This window comes from Homo sapiens, chromosome 20 (genome assembly GCF_000001405.40).
Source record: "Homo sapiens chromosome 20, GRCh38.p14 Primary Assembly".
Taxonomy (NCBI): domain Eukaryota; kingdom Metazoa; phylum Chordata; class Mammalia; order Primates; family Hominidae; genus Homo; species Homo sapiens.
In genome coordinates this window covers 33,428,331-33,452,422 of record NC_000020.11, presented here as the reverse complement: position 1 = coordinate 33,452,422, position 24,092 = coordinate 33,428,331, and the positions used below count along the sequence as shown (strand labels likewise).

General features: G+C 49.6%; 1 protein-coding gene across 6 annotated transcripts in view, besides 8 other annotated features; it reads left to right on the top strand.

Annotated features, from left to right (window-relative positions):
- Positions 7,655–7,714: an enhancer, noted in NCBI's record as "active region_17733". NCBI's record gives its function as "activates an Ori minimal core promoter by ATAC-STARR-seq in GM12878 lymphoblastoid cells {active_cell/tissue: GM12878}" and the evidence as "EXISTENCE:reporter gene assay evidence [ECO:0000049][PMID:35858748]".
- Positions 7,655–8,234: a biological region, named in NCBI's record as "H3K4me1 hESC enhancer GRCh37_chr20:32032043-32032543".
- Positions 7,686–8,186: an enhancer, noted in NCBI's record as "H3K4me1 hESC enhancer chr20:32032043-32032543 (GRCh37/hg19 assembly coordinates)". NCBI's record gives its function as "activates a minimal SCP1, AML or CMV promoter by ChIP-STARR-seq in primed H9 embryonic stem cells {active_cell/tissue: H9 hESC(primed)}" and the evidence as "EXISTENCE:reporter gene assay evidence [ECO:0000049][PMID:30033119]".
- Positions 8,165–8,234: an enhancer, noted in NCBI's record as "active region_17732". NCBI's record gives its function as "activates an Ori minimal core promoter by ATAC-STARR-seq in GM12878 lymphoblastoid cells {active_cell/tissue: GM12878}" and the evidence as "EXISTENCE:reporter gene assay evidence [ECO:0000049][PMID:35858748]".
- Positions 8,465–8,944: a silencer, noted in NCBI's record as "silent region_12812". NCBI's record gives its function as "represses an Ori minimal core promoter by ATAC-STARR-seq in GM12878 lymphoblastoid cells {active_cell/tissue: GM12878}" and the evidence as "EXISTENCE:reporter gene assay evidence [ECO:0000049][PMID:35858748]".
- SNTA1 (syntrophin alpha 1) overlaps positions 8,660–24,092 on the top strand; it is a 35,807-nt gene continuing 20,374 nt past the window's right edge. For 5 of the 6 annotated variants that reach the window (NM_001424413.1, NM_003098.3, XM_011529008.2 and 2 more), the window contains exons 1-2: positions 8,660–9,112; positions 13,397–13,582. In NM_001424413.1, coding sequence (NP_001411342.1) covers positions 8,803–9,112; positions 13,397–13,582 — 496 coding nt within the window. In that variant the 5' untranslated portion in view covers positions 8,660–8,802. Of the gene's footprint in view, positions 9,113–11,110; positions 11,306–13,396; positions 13,583–24,092 lie in introns of those variants that run through there. The other variant, XM_024451971.2, reaches the window with a different exon arrangement.
- Positions 9,055–9,114: a silencer, noted in NCBI's record as "silent region_12811". NCBI's record gives its function as "represses an Ori minimal core promoter by ATAC-STARR-seq in GM12878 lymphoblastoid cells {active_cell/tissue: GM12878}" and the evidence as "EXISTENCE:reporter gene assay evidence [ECO:0000049][PMID:35858748]".
- Positions 12,125–12,303: a silencer, noted in NCBI's record as "fragment chr20:32027926-32028104 (GRCh37/hg19 assembly coordinates)". NCBI's record gives its function as "represses an EF-1alpha promoter that drives an FKBP-Casp9 reporter gene in an ReSE screen in K562 erythroleukemia cells {active_cell/tissue: K562}" and the evidence as "EXISTENCE:reporter gene assay evidence [ECO:0000049][PMID:32094911]".
- Positions 13,544–13,593: an enhancer, noted in NCBI's record as "active region_17731". NCBI's record gives its function as "activates an Ori minimal core promoter by ATAC-STARR-seq in GM12878 lymphoblastoid cells {active_cell/tissue: GM12878}" and the evidence as "EXISTENCE:reporter gene assay evidence [ECO:0000049][PMID:35858748]".

The following is a 24,092-nucleotide window of genomic DNA, read 5'->3' as shown; positions in this document are numbered from 1 at the left end:
TCACCACCACGCCCGGCTAATTTTTTATTTTTGGTAGAGACGGGGTTTCATCATGTTGGCCAGGCTGGTCTCAAACTCCTGACCTCAGGTGATCTGCCTGCCTTGGCCTCCTAAAGTGCTGAGATTACAGGTGTGAGCCACCGTGACTGGCCTCATGCTAAGTACTGAAAGCACTCTTTTTTTGAGACAGAGTCTTGCTCTGTCACCCAGGCTGGAGTGCAGTGTCGCGATCTCAGGTCAGTGCAAGCTCCGCTTTCCGGGTTCAAGTGATTCTCCTGTCTCAGCCTCCTGAGTAGCTGGGATGACAGACACGCACCATCATGCCCGGCTAAGTTTTGTATTTTTAGTAAAGACTGTGTTTCACCATGTTGGTCAGGCTGGTCTCAAACTCCTGACCTCATGATCCACCTGCCTTGGCCTCCCAAAGTGCTGGGATTATAGGCGTGAGCGACCACGCCCGGCCCTGAAAGCACTCTTAGGTTGGCTGTCCCATCAGGCATCTGACAGAAGTACCCACAAATCCTCTCTGAAGGAATAGAACCTACTTCATACCAGACCTCAAAGAATGCATATAAACTGTGTAGTTGACAAGATTACACATGTGTAATGAAGAAAAAAGATCCACCAGCTGCTGTCTATGGAGTAGCCATTCTTTTATTGCTTTAAGAAAAAGGCTGGGCTCAGTGGCTCATGCCTGTAATCTTGGGACTTTGGGAGGCCAAGGTGGGAGGATGGCTTGAGTCCAGGAGTTCCAGACCAGCCTGGGCAACATAGTGGGACCCCGTTTCTATTTAAAGTAAATTAAAACAAATTTTTTTTTTTTTTTTTTAGATGGAGTCTCGCTCTTTCGCCCAGGCTGGAGTGCAGTGGTACAATCTCGGCTCACTGCAACCTCTGCCTCCCGGGTTCACACCATTCTCCTGCCTCAGCCTCCAGAGTAGCGGGGACCACAGGCGCCTGCCACCACGCCTGGCTAATTTTTTGTATTTTTAGTAGAGATGGGGTTTCACTGTGTTAGCCAGGATGGTTTCGATCTCCTGACCTTGTGATCCGCCTGCCTCGGCCTCCCAAAGTGCTGGGATTACAGGCATGAGCCACCGCGCCCGGCCAATTAAAACAAATTTTAAAAAAGAAAAAGTAAAAAGAGCCACCAACACTTCAGAATCAGAATTACTATATAGGCTCATGCCTGTAATCCCAGTGCTTTGGGAGGCTGAGGCAGGAGGATAGCTTGAACCCAGGAATTTTGAGGTAGATCAGCAAGATTTGTTTTCCAAGCACTGGTTATGACTGGTCACCATCCCGCTGATCAGAGCAGAAACTGGTCAATCCAGGGTGCAGTGAAGACGCCAGCCAAAATCAGCAGATGGTGACTAAAGTGACCGCTAGTTGCCCTCACTGCTCATTTGCATAAAGACACTCCCACTAGTGCCATGATAGTTTAGAAAGGCTCTGGCAATGGCCATGGCAATGGCCCAGAAGTTACCTTATATGGTTCCAGAAACTGTCCATTTTCCAGAACGTTCTGAATAACTTGCCTCTTAATTTGTGTATAATTAAAAGTGGGTCTAGGCCGGGCGGGGTGGCTCACGTCTGTAATCCTAGCACTTTGGGAGGCTGAGGCGGGCAGATCGCCTGAAGTCAGGAGTTCATGGCCAACATAGTGAAACTCCATCTCTACTAAAAATACAAAAAAATGAACCAGGTGTGGTGGCACACACCTGTAATCCCAGCTACTTGGGAGGCTGAGGCAGGAGAATCTCTGGAATCAGTGGGGTAGAGGCTGCAGTGAGCCAAGATCATGCCACTGTACTCCAACCTGGGCAACAGGGCCAGATTCCGTCTCAAAAAAAAAAAAAGTGGGTATAAATACAGCTGCCCCCAGCCCATATGAAACTCTTCTGGGCACACTGCCTGTGTGTTAACCCTCCTCTGCAAGGGCAGTCCCTCTGCTGCTGCTGTACGCTGCTGCTTCAATAAAAGTTGCTGTCTGATACCACTGGCTCACCTTTGAATTATTTCCTGGGAGAAGCCAAGAACTTTCCCAGGCTAAGGCCCAATTTGGGGCTCGCCTGTCTTGAGCCCAGGAGTTAGAGGCTGCAGGAAGCTAGGATCATGCCACTGTACTCCAGTCTGCATCACAAAGCAAGCCCCGTCTCTTTAAAAACAAAAAGAGGCTGGGCGCGGTGGCTCACACCTTTAATCCCAACACTTTGGGAGGCCGAGGCGGGTGGATCATTTGAGGTCAGGAGTTCGAGACCAGCCTGGCCAACATGGTGAAACCCCGTCTCCACTAAAAATTCAAAAAATTAGTTGCGAGTGGTGGCACATGTCTGTAATCCCAGCTACTTGGGAGCCTGGGGCAGAAGAATCGCTTGAACCTGGGAGGTGGAGGTTGCAGTGAGCTGAGATCATGCCATTGCACTCCAGCCTGGGCGTCAGAGTGAGACCCTGCCTCAAAAATAAATAAATAAATAAAATAAAAACAAAAAAGAACTACTATATAGATAATATAAAATAAGTACAATTCATAGGTTTAAATACATTTCAAAAGGGTATCAAAAGCATGGGTAAAGAATAGAGAGACTATGCCAGTTATGGTGGCTCACGCCTGTAATCCCAGCACTTTGGGAGGCTGAGGCGGGTGGATCACCTGCGGTCAGGAGTTCGAGACCAGCCTGGCCAAGATGGCAAAACCCCCGTCTCTACTAAAAATACAAAAAATTAGCCGGGGGTGGTTGTGGGCACTTGTAATCCCAGATAACTTGGGAGGCTGAGGCAAGAGAATCACTTGAACCCGGGAGGTGGAGGTTGCAGTGAGCCAAGATCACGCCATTGCACTCCAGCCTGGGGGACAGAGCAAGACTCTGTCTCAAAAAAAAAAAAAGATACTATAAACATAATCAGACAGATGTGGAAAAAAAAGTAGGGCCGGGCATGGTGGCTTATGCCTGTAATCCCAGCACTTTGGGAGGCTGAGGCAGGCGGATCATGAGGTCAGGAGTTCAAGACTAGCCTGATCAACATGGTGAAACCCTGTCTCTACTAAAAATACAAAAATTATGGCAGGGCGTGGTGGCTCACACCTGTAATCCCAGCACTTTGGGAGGCCGAGGTGGGTGGATCACGAGATCAGGAGTTTGAGACCAGCCTGGCCAACATAGTGAAACCCTGTCTCTACTGAAAATACAAAAAATTAGCTGGGCGTGGTGGCAGGTGCCTGTAATCCCAGCTATTTGAGAGGCTGAGGCAGGAGAATCCCTTGAAGCTGGGAGGCAGAGGTTGCAGTGAGCTGAGATCGTGACACTGCACTCCAGCTTGGGCAACAGTGTGAGATTCCATCTCAAACAAACAAACAAACAAACAAAAAAAACCCCAAAACTAGCTGGATGTGGTGGCATGCGCCTTTAACCCCAGCTACTCAGGAGGCTGAGGCAGGAGAATTGCTTGAATCCAGGAGGTGGAGGTTGCAGTGAGCTGAGATTGTGCCACTGCACTCCAGCCTGGGTGACAGAGTGAGACTCCGTCTCAAAAAAAAAAAAAAAAAAAAAGTAGAATTTCTAGAAATAAAAAAGTAACAATTGATATTTTAAATTCAAAGAATAGGATAAACAGTAGATTAGTTCTAGTTAAAGAAAGAATTAGTAAACTGGAAGATATCACTGAAGAAATTACTCAGAATGCAGTATGGAAAAAAGTAAAGAGAAGATATGAAAGAAAGTTAAGAGACATGGAGATTTGAGTAAGATATTCTAATTTAAGAGATAATTAAAGATTGGGCAAGAGGCATTTGGCCTTCTTTGATAGAAAGCTTTGCCTGCCACCTTCAGGCTGGGTGCAGTGGCTCATGCCTGTAATCCCAGCACTTTGGGAGGCTGAGGCGGGCAGGTTGCCTGAGGTCAGGAGTTTGAAACCAGCCTGGCCAACATGGTGAAATTCCGTTTCTACAAAAATACAAAAATTAGCTGGGCGTGGTGGCATGTGCCTGTAATCCCAGCTACTCTAGAGGCTGAGTTGGAAGAATCGCTTGAACCTGGGAGGCAGAGGTTGCAGTGAGTCAAGATAGTGCCATTGCACTCCAGCCTGGGTGACAGAGTGAGACTCAGTCTCAAAATAAAATAAAATAAAATAAAATAAAAAACTAAATAAAAAGAGGCTGGGTGCGATGGCTCACACCTGTAATTCCAGCACTTTGGGAGGCCGAGGTGGGCGGATCATCTGAGGTCAGGAGTTCAAGACCATCCTGGCCAACGTGGTGAAACCCCCTTTTTTTTTTTTTTTTTGAGACAGAGTCTCACTCTGTCACCCAGGCTGGAGTGCAGTGGTGTGATCTCAGCTCACTGCAACATCTGCCTCCTGGGTTCAAGAGATTCTCCTGCCTCAGCCTTCCAAGAAGGTGGGACTACAGGCGTGTACCAACATGCCTGGCCAATTTTTTGTATTTTTAGTAGAGATGGGGTTTCACTGCAGAAACCCTGTTTTTACTAAAAATACAGAAATTAGCTGGGTGTGATGGCGGGCGCCTGTAATCCCAGCTGCTTGGAAGGCTGAGGCAGGAGAATCGCTTGAACCCGGGAGGCGGAGGTTGCAGTGAGTGGAGATCGCGCCACTGCACCCCATCCTGGGCAATAGGAGTGAAACTCCGTCTTAAAAAAATAATAATAATAAATAAATAAAAAGAAAAATATTTAGCGCTAAATACTTAACAACATAGCAAATAATTTGGGAGAGTAAGTAATTGAAGATAATAGAGTGCTCTTAATACAACTAGAGAATATAACTTCCAAAAGCAGAAGGAGAAATGTCCATTTATGTGATGTTAAAAAATGTAAAACTAAACAGTAGATTGTTTAGGATTTATGCATAGATTTTTTTTTTTTTGAGACGGAGTCTCGCTTTGACACCCAGGCTGAGGTGCAGCAGCACATCTTGGTTCACTGCAAGCTCCGCCTCCCAGGTTCACGCCATTCTCCTGCCTCAGCCTCCTGAGTAGCTGGGACTACAGGCGCCCGCCACCACGCCCTGCTAATTTCTTTTTGTATTTTTAGTAGAGATGGGGTTTCACTGTGTTAGCCAGAATGGTCTTGATCTCCTGACCTCGCGATCCGCCCGCCTCGGCCTCCCAAAGTGCTGGGATTACAGGCATGAGCCACCGTGCCCAGCCAAGTTTTTGTATTTTAGTAGAGACGGGGTTTCACCATGTTGGTCAGGATGGTCTCGATAGCTTGACCTCGTGATCTGCCCACCTCGGCCTCCCAAAGTGCTGGGATTACAGGCTTGAGCCACCGTGCCCAGCTAATTTTCGTATTTTTGTAGAGAATGGGGTTTTACCATGTTGGCCAGGCTGCTGTTGAACTCCTGACCTCAGGTGATCCAGCCGCCTAGGCCTCCTAAAGTGCTGGGATTACAGGTGTGAGCCACCGCGCCTGGCCAGAGCTTGCAGAGACTTTAGTAGGCTGGGCAGCTCCCCTCTCTCCCTTTTTTTCCCCTTCCCCCTCTCCTATTCCTTGGGAGTGAACTGGTTTTCTCTGGGAGCTCTGCCTGGGGCTTGGCAGGGAGCCGGGCCTATGTGTATCTATCTGGGAGGCCAATTTCTGAGCCACAGCAGAGAGGCATCGGCTGACCACAGTGTAGGGATAGAGCATTCCTGCAGCTACAGGGTTCTTGGGGGTAGCTACAGGTGATTGGCACTGCCTATCAAGTGTGATCACAAACACACACACCCATACTCACATACAGACGTATACATATGCATACACACGTCACTGTTTCCTTGGCTCTACATCTTCTTTCTGTGTTAGCCCCTTTGCACACATCACTCCTTTCCCTACTTCCTTCCTTCCTGTTATATCCACAGGAAACTGTCCCCCAGAGGAGAAGCCCTCTCTTAGGGCTCTTTCTCAGTAAGTTTGTCTGGGCCTCATTAAGTCTTTTTTAAGCAGGGCAGTACGTGGGGGGACTTTTAAGGATCTGGTTCCAGGCTTTGGTCTTGGGAAAGGAGCTTCAATTCCCTGCTGGTCTCTTGCCTCCTGCCAGGTCTGTCCTCCCCTCCCTTCTCTACCATTGGAGTGAAGCTTCCACAAGCCAAGTAGGCTGTAGTTATTTATCACAAGTGCTTACCCCAAATTCCTCAGGCTGTCCTACAATCTTTAAGCACAGTCATACTTTTAAGATATCAATGCTTATATACAATGCTATATTCCTTCCCTGCCTCCCTTCTCTCCTTCCTTCCTCTCACTTTCTTTTATTTATTTTTGAGACAGGGTCTTGCTCTGTCACCCAGGCTGGAGTGCAGTGGCATGATTGTGGCTCACAGCAGCAGCCTCAAACAGGCCTCCTGCTGCAGCTTCCTAAGTAGCTGGGAGTACAGGTGCACATTACCACGCTTGGCTAATTTCTTTATTTTGTAGAGATGGAGTCTCGTGAAGTTGCCCAAGTGGTCTCAAACTCCTAGCCTCAAGTGATCATTCCTCCTCGGCATCCCATATATATATGTATAAAAGACCCTGGGTTCTTTTTTTAAAACCTGTGTCTCTCCTGTTTTGACACCTACCACTCTAACTTAAAACAATTCCTTTTTTTTGTTGTTGGTTTTTTTTTTTTTTTTTTTTGAGACGGAGTCTCACCCTATCACCCAGGCTGGAGTGCAGTGGTGCAATCTCTGCTTGCTGCAATCTCCGCCTCCCGGGTTCAAGTGATTCTCCTGCCTCAGCCTCCTGAGTAGCTGGGATTATAGGTGTCTGCCACCACGCCCGGCTAATTTTTTTATATTTTTAGTAGAGATGGGGTTTCACCATGTTGGCCAGGCTGAGTCTCAAACTCCTGACCTCGTGATCTACCTGCCTCGGCCTCCTAAAGTGCTGGGATTACAGGCATGAGCCACCATACCTGGCCCCCTCTTTTTTTTCTTGATGGTATCTTATGTGGAGGATTTTACCCAAAAGTTCAGGGAGGCTAAACACTGGTGTAGTCCTACTTATTTATTGCTCAACATATCCCAGCTAGGAATGGAGGATAGAGACAAGGAGCAGGTATGAAGGCCAGTTGAGCTGTGTGATGTGGTGGATTTTTCAGATTACAATCATGCTTTACCTCTGTATTTGTCAGCTGTCTAGCAGAGTGGTTCAGTGCCCAGGCACTGGTGTCAAACAGGCCTGGGTTTGAATCGCAGCTCTTCCTCACTCATAAATGTGTGACCTAGGCCAATTAGACTAAATCCAAGTTTTCCCTTCTGTATAATAGGGGTGCTCTTTTTTCTTGCTCTGTCACCAAGGCTGGAGTGTGATGGTGCAATCACAGCTCACTGCAGCCTGGACCTCCAAGGCTCAAGCGATCCTGCCACCTCAGCTGTGATTACAGGTGTGAGCCACTGTGCCCAGCTGGGGGTGCTCTTAGCTACTCCAGGAGGCTAATGTAAAGATAACACTTGGAAAATATTCTGCCAGCCCTAGGTAAGAGTAAGCATTCACTAAATGAAAGTGATTATTTCTATAGAATAGGGAGTCACAGTTTACCACGTGTTTTCACATTGATTTAATCCTCACACCAGCCCAGTGAAGTAGGTATTATTATGATCCACATTTTACAGATGAGGAAATTGAGGCCTAGAGCAGTGACGTGAGGGGACCAAAGTCGACTTGGAGCTAACAGAGGCAGCAAAGATTAGAAACCATGTCTCCAGTCGCCCAGACCCAGAGCCCCACCTTGCAACCCTCTTCCCACACACCAGTTCTGTTTTTTTTCTGCCAGGCCTCAAAGTGTGGGACTTCAGGCTTTTCTATACTCGACTGTGAACACAGCCAGGGGTTAATCTCTTAAACTTCCCTCCAGTTTTGAAGTGGGGATCCTGCCCACACCTCCCCCAAGCCCTAAGCGGTGTCGGTAGCGGTCTCCTCCAGGGGGCGGGGCCTGTCATCTTTAGAAGCCACGCCAGCGATAAGCCACGCCCACAGACCAAAGCCTCGACCCCCACCCCCCATCCCCCGCCCTCCCCGATAGGAAACCAACTTCTTCCTCAGCTCCCCAACTAGCAACTGTGCCCGCAAGGTCTCTCGCGGCTCAGCATCTACCTTTTTTTTTTTTTTTTTTTTTTGACACAGGGTTTCGCTCTGTCACCCAGGCTGGAGTGCAGTGGCGCGATCGCGGCTTACTGCAGCCTCGAGCTTCTGGGCTGTCATCTAGGCCTCCCAAAGTGTTGGGATTACAGGCGTGAGCCTCCACGCCCAGACGGTGTCTACCTCTTAAACTCAAGCCTTGGAGTCCAACGCTCTACCATACGCAGCCCAGCCCTCCGCCATATGCAGCCCAGCCCGATGCCCAGTGCTTCGCACCAGGATACGTGGTTCTGTCTCTTTTTCATGCGCTCCCACGTCCGGGAGTTACAGTCCCGGCCCTCGATGGGCATTCCGAGCGCCGAGCCCCCTGCGCGGGCTCACTGGGTTCCGCCCCCGACGCGAAGCCCCGCCCCCTGACGCCCCGCCCAGCACCACGCCTCCCGGGCTTTCGCCTTACTTAGTGGCCCGCCCCGCCGCCCTTCTGACCCACCCCGCTAGGTAGTCCCACACGGCGGCCCTCGGCTCCCGGGCCCCGCCCCGGCCTCCTGCATTTGCCCGAGGCCCCCTCCCCAGCACTGGCCACACCCCAGGGTAGCCCCGCCCCCAGAGCTCCTCCCCCAGCGGCCGGGGTAGGGTGGCGGCTGGCCCAGCCGGGCCCCCGCTGCCCTCTGCCCTGGGCGCTTGGTCGGAGCGGGCTGGGCAAAGCGGGACAGGGCGAGCGCGGCGGCCCGGGGGCTCGGAGGCGAAGATGGCGTCCGGCAGGCGCGCCCCGCGCACCGGGCTGCTGGAGCTGCGCGCCGGGGCGGGCTCGGGGGCCGGCGGCGAGCGATGGCAGCGGGTGCTGCTGAGTCTGGCGGAGGACGTGCTGACCGTGAGCCCCGCCGACGGCGACCCTGGTCCCGAGCCCGGCGCTCCGCGGGAGCAGGAGCCCGCGCAGCTCAACGGCGCCGCGGAGCCGGGCGCCGGGCCCCCGCAGCTGCCAGAGGCGCTACTGCTCCAGCGGCGCCGCGTGACGGTGCGCAAGGCCGACGCCGGTGGGCTGGGCATCAGCATCAAAGGTGGGCGCGGGACACCGAGGGCGCGGGGTCGTGGTGTCTGGGGGCAGCCGAGGGCGCAGGGGGCTGGCAGCGCGCCCAGGACATGGAGCTGGAGGCTTCCTGTCTGGGGGTAAGGGGGGTCTGAGGAAACAGGTAACGGAGGGCACTGGGCACACCAAGGTTGGAGGGGGTTTCAGTAGTTGGTGGCCTTAGGGGGCACGGAAGACACAGGTGTGGATAAGATTGTGGGAGCACCAAGGACACGTGGGTGGGAGTTCTGTGTGGAGGCGGGGGGGTCTGAGGGGTAACCAGCATGAACATCAAGGACAAGAGGGGTCCCCCGGAAAGCAGAGTGTGGAGAAAGGGGGTTGAGGCCGGGACACCAGTGGGACAGGGAGGAGGGAGTCCCTGAGAAGCAACCAAGGTGGGTGCAGAGGGGAAGCCTGGAGTCTGGGAAGCACAGGGGTGGATAGGAGGCCTGGGTGCAGGCACAGGCTGGGGTCACAGGCAGAAGGCCAGCAAGGACCTAGGAATCTAAGGACCCAGGAAGGCTGCAGGGAGCCCTGACAGCTGGATTTGGGTCTCCTGATCTGACTATCTCCACCTTGCACAGGATAGAGCTTTCAGCCCCCAGGACTGACCGCTAGTGGGGTGCAGTTAGGGTGCAACCAGACTGTGTTTGAATCCAGGATCAGCTGTGTGAGGTTGCAAAAGTCCCGTCCCGCCTCTGAATCTGTTTCCTCAACTGTATAAGAGGATGACAGAGTTGTGATGTTTCTGAGAGCAGGGCTCACCACACCAGCACACTGTAGGTGCCTAGTTAATTACTGCTGTTAGCGGAGAGGAAAAATGGAGGCCAGCAGATACTCCCAAAGCAACTAAACATAGTTGTTAAAATCCTTGCACACCCCCAGCTGCTGGGTTCACTATTCCTGCCCATCTGTTTCTCAGGGTCCCAGCCCCCAGCAGGTGCTTTGGGAAAGGGTATCAGCCTTTGTCTCCACCTTGAATACATACCGTACCCTCTGGGGTCTCCCTGGTACTGGTTCTGTTGACTAGTGCCTCCAGACCGTTTGGCTTGGCTGAGGCGGTGGGGATGGTGGTGAATGCCACCACTGTGTGCCAGGTGCTGTGCCCAGGACACTAGTCTCATGATCCACTTCATCCTGGCAACAAGTGGTGAAAGGTAGGGAGTATAATTCCCATATTGCAGGTGAAGAAACTGAGACTCAGAAAGTTAAAATGATTTTCCCACGATTACATAGTGAGTGTCAGTGCTGGGATTTGAACCTTAATTATCAGCTACTGTCCCTCAGAGAGTGCTCAGGGAAGTTGATTCTTTCCTGTAGAAGGGCAGATCCCCAGGCAGCCAACCAAGAGGGGCTAAAAAGGAGAAATGAGAAAATGAGGGTATGGGCACCAGTCTTACCCCCAATCTCCAGCATGGGATAGGGCAACAGATGAATCCAAAAATTATACACTCAGTGTGTCAAAGCAGGAAGGAACTTATTCATACAGAATTCCATTCTGCAGATGGACACACTGAGACTCAGAGAGGAGCAGGGACTTTGCAAGGTCACACAAAGTTACTCCCCAGCTCCATAATTCTAGGTGGAGGGGAGGGTACTTTTAGGAGACTTCAGGTATTTCCATTGGATCCAAATCTGGGCTCCTGTTGCCATGGTAACCCCTCCTATAAAGTCTAGCTTAGTCTGAGGCAGCCATGAGTGATCATAGCTTCAAACTGAACTGAAGCCCCTAGTTTCAGGTGGGGGAGGGCAGATATAAATAGAAACCCCTTCCTCTCCTAGACTTCAAGCTCTGTGCAGATAAGCAAACGGTCGGGCCTGTGTGGGCGTCAAGAGAGGTGTTCCAGTCCCAGCTCCGCCACCAGACTTGTGTGACCTTGGAACAATGACCTCCCACTCTGGGCCACTAATTCTTCATCTTCAGTATTCTGGGGATGAGCCAGGAGTGTGATATCTGAGGGCCTGACTTGTCGTCTGTGGTAGGGCTAATAGTGTTGGTTCTGGAGCCTGGAGGCCTAGGTGCAAATACTGGCTTCGCTACTTACTAGTGGAGTGACCTTGGACAAGGGGCTTCCCTCCACACTTCAGTTTCCCTAATAGGAAACTGAACATACCTATGTGATGGGGTATTGTAAAGACGCAATGAATCAACATTGAAAGCATTTAGCACAGTGCTTGGCATTTGGTAAGTGCAACTAAGGTGAACTCTTATTACTATTTCTTATTTTAAAAGGGCATTTAAGAGTTTGGTAATAAAGATGTTTAGTAAAATGTATTAGCTTCTTTTGTATCCAAGATGCCATTCAGGCAGGTTTTTAGAATCTCTAGACTCTAAGGCTTTGGTTTCCAGCCTGGACTTTGGATTGTAAAACATTATGATTGCTAAAGCAGTCTTTTGAGGCCATAGGAATAGCCGACTTGTCTCTTGATTCCGGTTTGAGGGGTATCAGTGGGTTCCCACATTGTTGCCTTTTTGTGTGTGTGTGTGAGACAGTCTTGCTCTGTTGCCCAGGGTGGAGTGCAGTGGTGCGATCTCGGCTCACTGCAATCTCCACCTCCTGGGTTCAAGCAGTTCTCGTGCCTCAGCCTCCTGAGTAGCTGGAATTATAGGCACACACCGCCATGCCTGGCTAATTTTTGTATTTTTGTTTTATTTTGAGATGGAGTCTTGTTCTGTCGCCCATGCTGGAGTGCAGTGGTGTGATCTTGGCTCACTGCAACCTCCACCTCCTGGGTTCAAGCAATTCTGCTGCCTCAGCCTCCTGAGTAGCTGGGACTACAGGCATGTGCCACCAGGCCCAGCTAATTTTTTGTGTTTGTATTTATTTATTTATTTATTTATTTTTTGAGATGGAGTTTCGCTCTTATTGCCCAGGCTGGAGTGCAATGGTGCAATCTTGGCTCATTGCAACCTCAGCCTCCCGGTTCAAGCAATTCTCCTGACTCAGCCTCCCGAGTAACTGGGATTACAGGCATGCGCCCCCATGCCCGGCTAATGTTTGTACTTTTAGAAGAGATGGGGTTTTGCCATGTTGGCCAGGCTGGTCTTGAACCCCTAACCTCAGGTGATCTGCCCATCTTGGCCTCCCAAAGTGCTGGGATTACAGGCGTGAGCCACCACGCCCAGCCATATTTTTTTATTTGTTTATTTTTTTATTATGTATTTATTTACTTTTTTGAGCAGAGTTTCACTTTTGTTGCCCAGGCTAGAGAGCAATGGCGTGATCTCAGCTCACTGCAACCTCCGCCTCCTGGGTCCAAGTGATTCTCCTGCCTCAGCCTCCCGAGTAGCTGGGATTACAGGCATCCGCTACCACGCCCAGTTAATTTTTTGTATTTTTGGTAGGGACAGGGTTTCACTATGTTGGCCAGGCTGGTCTCGAACTCCTGACCTTAGGTGATCCACCTGGCAGCCTTGGCCTCCCAAAGTGCTGGGATTACAGGCATAAGCCACCGCACCTGGCCCTTTTTTGTGTTTTTAGTAGAGGCAGGATTTCGCTATGTTGGCCAGGCTGGTCTCAAACTACTGGTCTCAAGTGATCCGACCACCTTGGCCTCCCAAAGTGTTGGGATTACAGGTGTGAGCCACTTTGTCCGGTTATTTTCATTTTTAATTTTTGTGCGTACATAGTAGGCATATATATTTATGGGTTACATGAGAAAATCGAAAACATTTAAGAAAAAGTGATTGAAGCACTTTGTAAGTTGCACAAACACTGGTGAACACCCAAAGCACTTAATCAAAAGATCCAGGGATCAAACTATAGCATTATGAATTTTGAAAATGATTTATTTAATTAATTAATTTATTGAGACAGGGTCTCCTTCTGCCACCCAAGCTGGAGTGCAGTGGCACAATCTCAGCTCACTGCAGCCTCGACCTCCTGGGCTCAAGTGATCCTCCTACTTCAGCTTCCCTAGTAGCTGAGACCACAGGTGCCTGGCTAATTTTTGTATTTTTAGTAGAGGCGGGGTTTTCCCATGTTGCCCAGGCTGATCCTGAACTCCTGACCTCAGGTGACCTGCCCACCTCAGCCTTCTAAGGTGCTGGGATTACAGGCATGAGCCACCGGACCTAATCAAAAATGATTTATTATTAGTGTTACTAGTGTCCCAAACTTCCAAGATTTTTCTCAGATTCCCTTTATTCTCCCATTGCCTTTTCCAGCACTGGGCTAGGCACCAAGGGAAGCCTTCAGAAATAATTGTGTCTTGATGTGACTCCCAAGTGTTGGAGTATCTGCCTAAGTCTTGTCCTCCTTCTGTACCTGTGCAGGCGGCCGGGAGAACAAGATGCCTATTCTCATTTCCAAGATCTTCAAGGGATTGGCAGCTGACCAGACAGAGGCCCTTTTTGTGGGGGATGCCATCCTGTCTGTGAATGGGGAAGACTTGTCCTCTGCTACCCATGATGAGGCGGTGCAGGTCCTCAAGAAGACAGGCAAGGAGGTGGTGCTGGAGGGTAAGCACTGACGTTCCAGGGTTCAGAGGGGCTGGGTGGAGGTGTTCCACTGCTTCTCTACCTCCCCCAGGCCTCAGAAGGCCCCATCCCAGCACTGGGGGCTGGGAGGTGGGCAGGACTGAAAACAGAAACAGAATTTGGGGACCTGCCTGAAGACAGTGTGGGGTGGTGGAGGGAGAGTTGGCATAGAGCCAAGCAGACCTGATTTGCATTTTCTGTCTTCCAGTCACTAGCTGTGTAGCCCTGGACAAGTCACTTCATTTCCCTGATCCTTAGTTTCCTCATTTGTAAAACAGGGATGTAGCTCCTGCCTTTCTGGGTTGTTGCGACTAGGGCAAAAATGTACATGGCAGAGTGTGCCAGCACCTGAGTGACACAGGGAGAGAGGGGTGCGGACTGGGGAAGGGGCAGGTCAGATTCTTTCCTGTGGGGCCTGGAGAGCTCTTGACTTCAGGTTCTTTTAGTGCCTGGGCCTTAAAACCCCAAGACCCATCCTCCTTTGGGAGAAGCCTTGGCTTTTATTTTACTTTATTTTTTTTTTGAGATGGAATCTTGCTCTGTTGTCCAGGCTGGAATACAGTGGCATGATCTTGGTTCATCGCAACCTCTGCCTCCTGGGTTCAAGTGATCCTCCTGCCTCAGCCTCCCAAGTAGCTGGGATTACAGGTGTGCGTCACCATGCCCAGCTAATTTTTATATTTTTGTAGAGACAGGGTTTTGCCATGTTGGCCAGGCTAGTCTTGAACTCCTGGCCTTAGGTGATCCACCCACCTCAGTCTCCCAAAGTGCTGAGATTACAGGCATGAGCCACCACGCCCAGAGGCCTTGGCTTTTATAGAGTAGGACATCAAATCCTTCCAGCCAGGATCAGAGAGGAGTTTTGTGGAGGAACCTTGGTTGAATGGCTTTCTCCACTGTTCCCTCACAGTGTGGTCTTGGGTGGGACCCTTGCCCTCTGTGGGCCTCGGTTTCCCCATCAGTTGTTACACGCCTCCTGCTGAGGTTGTCCCATGACCATCTTGTGCCATGTCTCTCAAGAGGTTTCTGCTTTGCTCAGCCCTTTCCTCAAACTCTGTCAGCTCTGGAAGCCCCGTGGGGGCCTGAGGAATGTGTCTCTGGCTTATGGCCCAGAACAGGCACAGGGAGGTGGCGGGGGCTGATGGAGAATAACACGGCCAGAGAAGCTGCTGAGTTGAGTCCCAGGCCCAAATCCTGGTGGGTTGCCTTGGTTTCCCTAAAGGAGTGTCCAAGAGGCCACAGAAGCAAATAGGTTCTCGGTCCTTGGTTGACCCAGATATAAAATAAAATAAAATTTAAATAAAGAAAATAAAATGTAAAGTTTTATTTTATATTTTAGGTATATCTATTTAAATGCCATGGATGCATTTTTTTTTCTTGTTTTTTTTTTTTTTCGAGACAGGGTCTTGCTCTATCACCCAGGCTGGAGTACAGTAGTATGATCTTGGCTCAATGCACCCTCCACCCCCCGGGGCTCAAACAATCCTCCCACCTCAACCTCCTGAGTGGCTGGGACTACAGATGCATGCCACCACACCTGGTTAATTTTTTTTTTTTTCTGAGATGGAGTCTCACTCTGTTGCCCAGGCTGGAGTGCAGTGGCATGATCTCGGCTCACTGCAACCTCCGTCTCCCGGGTTCAAGCAATTCTTCTGCCTCCGCCTCCTGAGTAGCTGGGATTACAGGCACCCACCACCATGCCCGGCTAATTTTTTTATTTTTAGTAGAGATGAGGTTTCACCATATTGGCCAGGCTGGTCTCAAACTCCTGAGCTTGTGATCCACCTGCCTCAGCCTCCAAAAGTGCTGGGATTACAGGTGTGAGCCCCTGCGCCTAGCTTTTTTTTTTTTTTTTTTTTGAGATGGAGTCTTACTCTGTCGCCCAGGCTGGAGCAGTGGCGCGATCTTGGCTCACTGCATCCTCCGCCTTCCAGGTTCAAGCGATTCTTCTGCCTTAGCCTTCCGAGTAGCTGGGACTACAGGTGCGCACTACCACGCCTGGCTAATTTTTTTTTTGTATTTTTAGTAGAGACAGGGTTTCACCATATTGGCCAGGCTGGTCTCGAACTCCTGACCTCGTGATCTGCCTGCCTCGGCCTCCCAAAGTGCTGGGATTACAGGCGTGAGCCACCACACCTAGCCAATTTTTTGTAGAGACAGGGTTTCACCATGTTGCCTGGGCTGGTCTCCAACTCCTGGGCTTAAGGGATCCTCCCACCTAAGTCTCCCAAAGTGCTGGGATTGCAGGCCACAGTGCCCAGTCTAGATGCATTTTTTTGATACTTAAAAAAAGCTGACTCTAGAGTGTTGATCCTTAGAAGCTTAAGTGTATCAATCATATTTTAATGGCAAAGTTAAATAATAGAATGCCACATAAATGATATGGATATAAGAGACTTTCCCCACATGCCTCATTACTTTGATATTTATAGTCAGCAATGCGGTTTGAAACCACTGACATTCATCGAAATGTCATATTTTAGTTGACTTGAAAGCTCTTTTAGCTTCTGTTGTTTGAAAGTTTAGTCTATGGTAAAATTTCTGCTATAGACACAATTCAAATCCACATTCACACGGAGGTCCCCTCACCTCCTCATCTTTATTTTTTATTTTTATTTATTTATATTTTTGAGACAGAGTCTTGCTCTGTCACCCAGGTTGGAGTGCAGTGGCGGGATCTCGGCTCACTGCAAGCTCCGCCTCCCGGGTTCACGCCATTCTCCTGCTCAGCCTCCCAAGTAGCTGGGACTACAGGTGCCCGCCACCACGCCTGGCTAATTTTTTGTATTATTAGTAGAGATGTGGTTTCACCGTGTTAGCCAGGATGGTCTCGATCTCCTGACCTTGTGATCTGCCCGCCCCGGCCTCCCAAAGTGCTGGGATTACACGCGTGAGCCACCGCGCCCGGCCCACCTCCTCATCTTTAGATTAAAAATGTATCTATCTGGGTTCCCATGTATGTCGTTTTGAGAAGGTAGTATCTGTAAATGTGTGACCTTGAAGCATCTTCTGACTTTAGGAGTGAATACTCAAGCCTTCCCTCTAACTCATGTCATGCATTCCTCCTCACTAAGCCAAGAGACATTCATGGACATCTACTGTGTGCCTGCTGTGTATATTAAGGTCAGAAGCTAAACTACACCCAGGGCCTCTCCTGAAGGAGCTCACCATGTGGTAGGGTAGACAAAACATAAACACTATCTCCTCTACACAAACTGTGTTTTTTTCTTGAGGCAGGGTCTCACTCTGTTGCCCAGGCTGGAGTGCAGTAGTGCGATCTCAGCTTACTGCAACCTCCTTCTCCCAGGTTCAAGCGATTCTCTGCCTCAGTTCTGTAGCTGGAATTACAGGTGTGCACCACCACGGCCTGGTTAATTTTTGTATTTTTAGTAGAGACAGGGTTTTGCCATGTTGGCCAGGCTGGTCTCGAACTCCCGGCCTCAGTGATCTGCCTGCCTGGGCCTCCCAAAGTGCTGGGATTACAGACGTGAGCCACCATGCCTGGCCTACAGAAACTCTTTAAAAGCCGGTGGCTAGGTGCTGTGACTCACGCCTGTAATCCCAGCACTTTGGGAGGCTGAGGCGGGTGGATCACCTGAGGCCAGGAGTTTGAGACCAGCCTGGCCAACATGGCGAAACCCCGTCTCTACTAAAAATACAAAAATTAGCTGAGCCATGGTGGCGCGTGCCTGTAATCCCAGCTACTCAGGAGGCTGAGGTAGGAAAATCTTGAACACGGGAGGCGGAGGTTGCAGTGAGCCGTGATTGTGCCGCTGCACTCCAGCCTGGGCGACAAGAGCAAGAATCCATCTCAAAAAAAAAAAAAAAAAAAAAAAAAAAGCTGGTGCCTGAAATCCTGTCTGCTCTGCAATAAATCTCTGTTTGGCCTTGGGTAAGACCCTTGCCTTCTAGGGGACTCAGTTTTCCTATTGAAGTTAGGCTAGATCAGAGGTGATCAATAGCTTTTATTTAGAGTGGCAGCTCCAGGCAGGCGTGGTGGCTTACGCCTGTAATCCCAACACTTTGGGAGGCTTAGGTGGGCAGATCACTTGAGCCCAGGAGTTCGAGACCAGCTTGGGCAACACAGTGAGATTTCATCTCTGTAGGAAAAAAAAAAAAAAGAGTGTAAGCGTCAGCTCCACTGGTGGTTCTGTGAGTTCCATATTTGGAAGGATTGGGAGGCTTTGTCTGGGCTCAGCAGAAAGGAGCTGGAATTGATTAGCAATGTCTACTACAGATGCAGTAGAGAAGTAACATGTGTATCATCCCAGGACTGAGGGGCCCCTGCTCTTATATTCTCTGAGATGTTTCACAGGACGAGATCATTCCTTGGTGAACCCTGCCTATGGCCTGGGTAAGAGAAAGAAGAATGTGGCCTTCATGTTTTTCCCCACTTTTCCTTAGTTGAAGTCTTTTTCGACCTATTCTCCTGGCCCAAGATCTCATGGAAGGAGGTCATTCCACTCAAGATAGCACAAAGAGGGGAGGAGGAGTGGTGGAAGGCACTGGAGTCAGGAATCTCTGAATGGCAAGAGTGATCAGAGAGGTCTGAAGGATAGGAGGATGCTGGGCTGTGGCTGGTCCTTGAGACTTTGGGGAGTGGAGAAGGTCTGGGCCTGGCAGTTGCACCAGTCTGGAGCAGCCAGGGTTCCTGGGACCCTCTCTGGGCCTAGGTTTCCCCGGAGTTGAATCACTGACCACATTGTTCAACATTTCCCCACTCACATCCCATTACTGAGGACGCCTCCAAGGGGCCATGGAAGGATGGCCTGTCCTTTGGATGTGAACTTGGCAAGGCAACTGGATATTTTTCCAGCTCAGTGGATAGTGAATCCCCTGAGGATGTCCTGGGAGAACAAGCATTACCAGCAAACTCCAGGTGTCAGCTAGAGCCTTACTTCCCTGGCCTAAGTTGGGGGCTCAGCTGAGCCTCAGCAACCCCAACCTGCCTCCTAGAACATTTCTTCTACTAGGTCAGGGGTTTGCAGAAATGTCCTGATCCTGTTCTCAGCCAGAGGGGTGTGTTTGTGACCACAGTCTGGGCCCAAGTTGGCAGCCAACAAGTGTCTGTCCGCTGCTTCGAGAGGCCCGTTGTGTGTGCAGACCTCAAGCCAGGGCCAGCCTGGGCCCTTGAAGGCCAGGCCTGGGGGAAGAGGGAGGGACAGCCTCAAGGAAAACACCCTTCCCTCCTCCCATTCCAGTGTGGCTGGCAGGACTGTGACAACAGTGAGCCTGTCATGCATTAAAAATAATGCTGGCTGGGCGCGGTGACTCATGCCTGTAATCCTAGCACTTTGGGAGGCTGAGGCAGGCAGATCAACTGAGGTCAGGGGTTCGAGACTAGCCTGGGCAACATGGTGAAACCCCGTCTCTACTAATAATATACAAAAATTAGCTGAGCATGGTGACACGCGCCTGTAATCCCAGCTACTCGGGAGGCTGAGGTAGGAGAATTGCTTGAACCCAGGAGGCAGAGGTTTCAGTGAGCCAAGATCGAACCATTGTACTCCAGCCTGGGGCAACAAGAGCAAAACTCCATCTCAAAAAAAAAAGAAAAAAGAAAAACCCGACAAAAAACAAAAAATAATACTAAGGCCAGGCAAGGTGGCTCACGCCTGTAATCCCAGCACTTTGGGAGGCTGAGGTGGGTGGACCACCTGAGGTCAGGAGTTCGAGACCAGCCTGGCCAAAATGGTGAAACTCCATCTCTACGAAAAATATAAAAATTAGCTGGGCGTGGTGGCAGGCACCTGTAATCCCAGCTACTCAGGAGGCTGAGACAGGAGAATCACTTGAACCCAGGAGGTGGATGTCGCAGTGAGCCAAGATTGCACCACTGCATTCCAGCTTGGGTGACAGAGTGAGTCTCTATCTCAAAAAAAAAAAATTAATAAAGTGAATTTTAGTGCTTTATATAAAGTAAGGAAGGTATAGCCCTCATAGAGATCAGGCTTTTATTTATTTATTTAGGATCTCACTCTGTTGCCCAGCCTATAGCACAGAGGTGTGATTGCAGCTCACTGCAGCCTCAACTCCTGGGCTCAAGCGATCCTCCTATCTCAGCCTCTCAAGTAGCTGGGACGACGGCATGTGCTACCACACCTGCCTAATTAAAAAAAATTAATAGAAACAGGGTCTCCCTGTGTTGTCCAGGCTAGTCTTGAACTCCTGGGCTCTAGCAGTCCTCCCAAAGTGCTGGGGTTACAGGCATGAGCCACTGCGCCTGATCCTGTTATTGTTTTCTTTAGTAAACTGGAAGCTGTTTGAGGGCAGGAACCACATGTAGCTTGTCTCTCAGCCCCCAGGTCTGGCACTGAGCCCAACATACATTAGATCTTGGTGAGTGTTTGGAGACTGATCAGTGGGGTATATCTTGGACCCTTTCTACTTTACCTTTCACCTTTTCAATTGCTGTTGACTTTCCTAAATGTTTAAGATGGGACTTGAGAATCATGCTGAGCTTGACTGACTCTTGAGCTTTTCTGTTCTGAGTCCTCAGAACTCTAAGGCCAGCTCCCTACTGGCTCTTCCCAGGAAGATGGCCACTGCCAGGTGTCCTGCCTTTGATCTGGCTTGATGCATCACCACTGTCAAAAGCGGGATGTCATTCTGGATGTAGCTAATTTGGGGCCACCCTGTTTCAACTTAGCTGAGTCATGCTGTGCCCCAGAGATGCTGGAGGGACCCCTGTCCCAGGAAGAGGGCATGAATGGAACTCCTGTTCAGTTCTCCCATGGCCGCAAAGACCTGTTGTTCTGACCATTGTTCTCAAGGAAAAGTTTACTTGGCTGTGCACACGCATAGCTTTGGACCATGTGACTCCCCACAAACAAAACTTGGCTTAATCCAGCCCTGGCCTGTTCCCCGGACCTTGATTAAAATGTCTTGTGGGCCTCTGTAGGCAGGTTCTGGCCCTGACGAGCTGTGTGACCCTGGCTGCTGCTGGTGGTGGAGGAAATAATAGTGATAATAATCAGGATGGTAGCATCTGCTGCTTATTGAGCATCCACACTGTGCTCAACACCATGAGCACCTACTGTGCTAAGTCCCTTCCCTATGCTTGTTTTTTTCTTTGAGATGGAGTCTCGCTCCATTGCCCAGGCTGGAGTACAGTGGCACGATCTCGGCTCACTGCAACCTCCACCTCCCTGGTTCAAGCGATTCTCCTACTTCAGCCTCCCGAGTAGCTGGGACTACAGGCGCGTGCCACCATGCCTGGCTAATTTTTTGTATTTTTAGTAGAGATGGGGTTTCACCATGTTGGCCAGGCTGGTCTCGAACTCCTGACCTCAGGTGATCCACCCGCCTCGGCCTCCCAAAGTGCTGGGATTACAGGTGTGAGCCACCGTGCCCGGCCCTTCCCTATGTTATTTAATTGAATCCTCAATGTCATCCCTGTGAATTAGGTACATTGTTCATTGTATAGATGAGAACACTGAAGCTCAGAGAGGTGACATTACTTGCCCAAGGTCACAGTATGGCAGAGATGGAATATGAGCTCAAGTCTTTCAGATGCCAAAACTCATATATATATATTTTAATCAAAAACAAAAATTTTGTAAGAGACAGGGTCTCACTCTGTCATGCAGGCTGGAATGCAGTTGCATGATCACGGCTCACTGTAGCCTCGACTTCCTGGGCTCAAGTGATCCTCCCACCACAGCCTCTCCAGTAGCTGGGACTACAGGCATGTGCCACCATACCCAGCTATTATTGTTTTGATTTTTTGTAGAGACAGGGTCTCACTATATTGTCCAGGCTGGTCTCAAACTCCTGGACTCAAGTGATTCTCCTGCCTCAGCCTCCTGACGTGCTGGGATTACAGGTGTGAGCCAGTGTGCCTGGCTGAAAACCCATAATCTTTTTTTTTTTTTGAGACGGAGTCTCGCTCTGTTGCCCAGGCTGGAGTACAGTGGCACGATCTCGGCTCACTGCAATCTGCGCCTCCCCAGTTCAAGTGATTCTTCTGCCTCAGTCTCTAAAGTAGCTGGGATTACAGGCATGTGCCACCACACCTGGCTAATTTTTGTATTTTTAGTAGAGATGAGATCTCACCATGTTAGCCAGGCTGGTCTCGAATTCCTGACCTCATGTGATCCGCCCTCCTCTGCCTTCCAAAGTGCTGGGATTTACAGGTGTGAGCCACTGCGCCCGGCGAAAACTCATTTTCTTAAATACTTATCTGCACTACAGGTTATGTCACTTCTCTGAGACTCAGTTTACTCACCCATTAAATAAAGATACTATGGCTGGGTGCGGTGGCTCCCACCTGTTATCCCAGCACTTTGGGAGGCTGAGGCGGGTGGATCACCTGAGGTCAGGAGTTCAAGACTAGCCTGGTAAACATGGTGAAACCCCGTCTCTACTAAAAATACAAAATTTAGCGCGTGCCTGTAGTCCCAGCTACTCAGGAGGCTGAGGCAGGAGAATTGCTTGAGCCCAGGAGGTGGAGGTTGCAGTGAGCTGAGATCACGCCACGGCACTCCAGCCTGGGCGACAGAGTGAGACTCCGTCTCAAAAAAAAAAAAAAAAAAAGAAAAAAGTAATAAAAATGAACATAAATAAGGATATTAATTCATCTCATCAAATTGGTGAAATAAGGTGAAGGTGTGTTCGAGAGAGTTGAGCTTGGCCCCAATATATAGTAGGCGCTCAATAAGTACTGCTTTCTCCCATCACTAAGATTCTAGAACCCTGAATCTAGGCTTCCGAGTTGATACGAGCATTATCTCTGAACTATGGCTTGTATGGCTTGGTATGTGGTGGTATATTTTTGAAAAATAAACTAGATTTTTTAGAAAATTTAAAAAGTAATACATACTCATTCAAAAATATCCAGCTTAGCCTGAGCAACATAGCGAAACCCTGTCTCTCCAAAAAAAAGTTACAAAAATTAGCCAGGCATGGTGGCACATTCCTGTAGTCCCAGCTACTTGGGATGCTGAGGCTGAAGGATCATTTGAGCCTGGGATGTGGAGGATGGAGTGAGCTGAGATTGTGCCATTGCACTCCAACTTGGGTGACAGAGTGAGACCCTGTCTCGAAAAAAAAATAAGTGGCTCATGCCTATAATTCCAGCACTTTCAGAGGCTGAGGTGGGAGGATTCCTTGAGACCAGGAGTTCGAGACTAGCCTAGGCAACATGGCAAGGCCTCGTCTCTACAATTTTTTTGTTTTTGTTTTTGTTTTTTTGAGATGGAGTTTCTCTCTTGTTGGCCAGGCTGGAGTGCAATGGCATGATCTCGGCTCACTGCAACCTCTGCCTCCTGGGTTCAAGCGATTCTCGTGCCTCAGCCTCCCGAGTAGCTAGGATTACAGGCGCGCACCAACACATCTGGCTAATTTTTGTATTTTTAGTAGAGATGGGGTTTCGCCACTCCTGGCCTCAGGTGATCCACCTGCCTCGGACTCCCAAAGTGCTAGGATTACAGGCATGAGCCACTATGCCTGACCCAATTTTTTTTTTTTTTTTTTTTTTTTTTTTTTTTAGGTGGAGTCTTACTGTGTTACCCAGGCTGGAGTGCAGTGGACTATCTTGGCTCAATCAAACCTCCACCTCCTGGGTTCAAGCAATTCTCCTACCTCACCTTCTCAAGTAGCTGGGATCACAGGCATGTGCCACCATGCCTGGCTAATTTCTGTATATAGTATAGGTGGGGTTTCACCATGTTGGCCAAGTCTCAAACTCCTGACCTCAAGTGATCTGCCTAAGGCCTCCCAAAGTCCTGGGATTACAGGCATAAGCCACCGTGCCTGGCCTACAAAAAATTTTTGTTTTTTTTGAGACCGAGTCTTGCTTTGTTGCCCAGGTTGCAGTGCAGTGGTACGATCTTGGCTCACTGCAACCTTTGCCTCTCAGGTTCAAGCAGTTTTCCTGCCTCAGCCTCCCAAGTAGCTGGGATTATAGGCGCCTGCCACCACACCTGGCTAATTTTTGTATTTTTAGTAGGGATGGGGTTTCACCATCTTGGTCAGGCTGGTTTTGAACTCCTGACCTCAAGCAATCCACCTGCCTCGGCCTCCCAGACTGCTGGAATTACAGGCGTGAGCCACTGTGCCTGGCCAAAAAATTTTTTAAAAATTAGCTGGGCATAGTGTTGTGCACCTGTAATCCCAGCTACTCAGGAGGCTGGGTAGGAGGATTGCTTGAGCCCAGGAGTTCAAGGCTGTACCCAAACTATGATTATGCCACTGTACTCTAATCTGGGCAACAAAGCAAGACACTGTCTCTTAAAAAAAAAAAATTACCAACGAGAGTGTAAAGGGATCATCTTATAGAGATAACCAGTGTTGATACTTTCACACATTTTCTTCCAGTAAGTTTCCATATTTGCTTTTATCACGTAATAAGTTGAGAACATGTAAGTCTCATTCTTTTTTATCTTTTTAATATTTTTTATTTTATAATTTTTTTGAGACAGTGTCTCACTCTGTTGCCCAGGTTGGAGTGCAGTGGCATAATCATTGCTCACTGCAGCCTCGACCTCCTGGA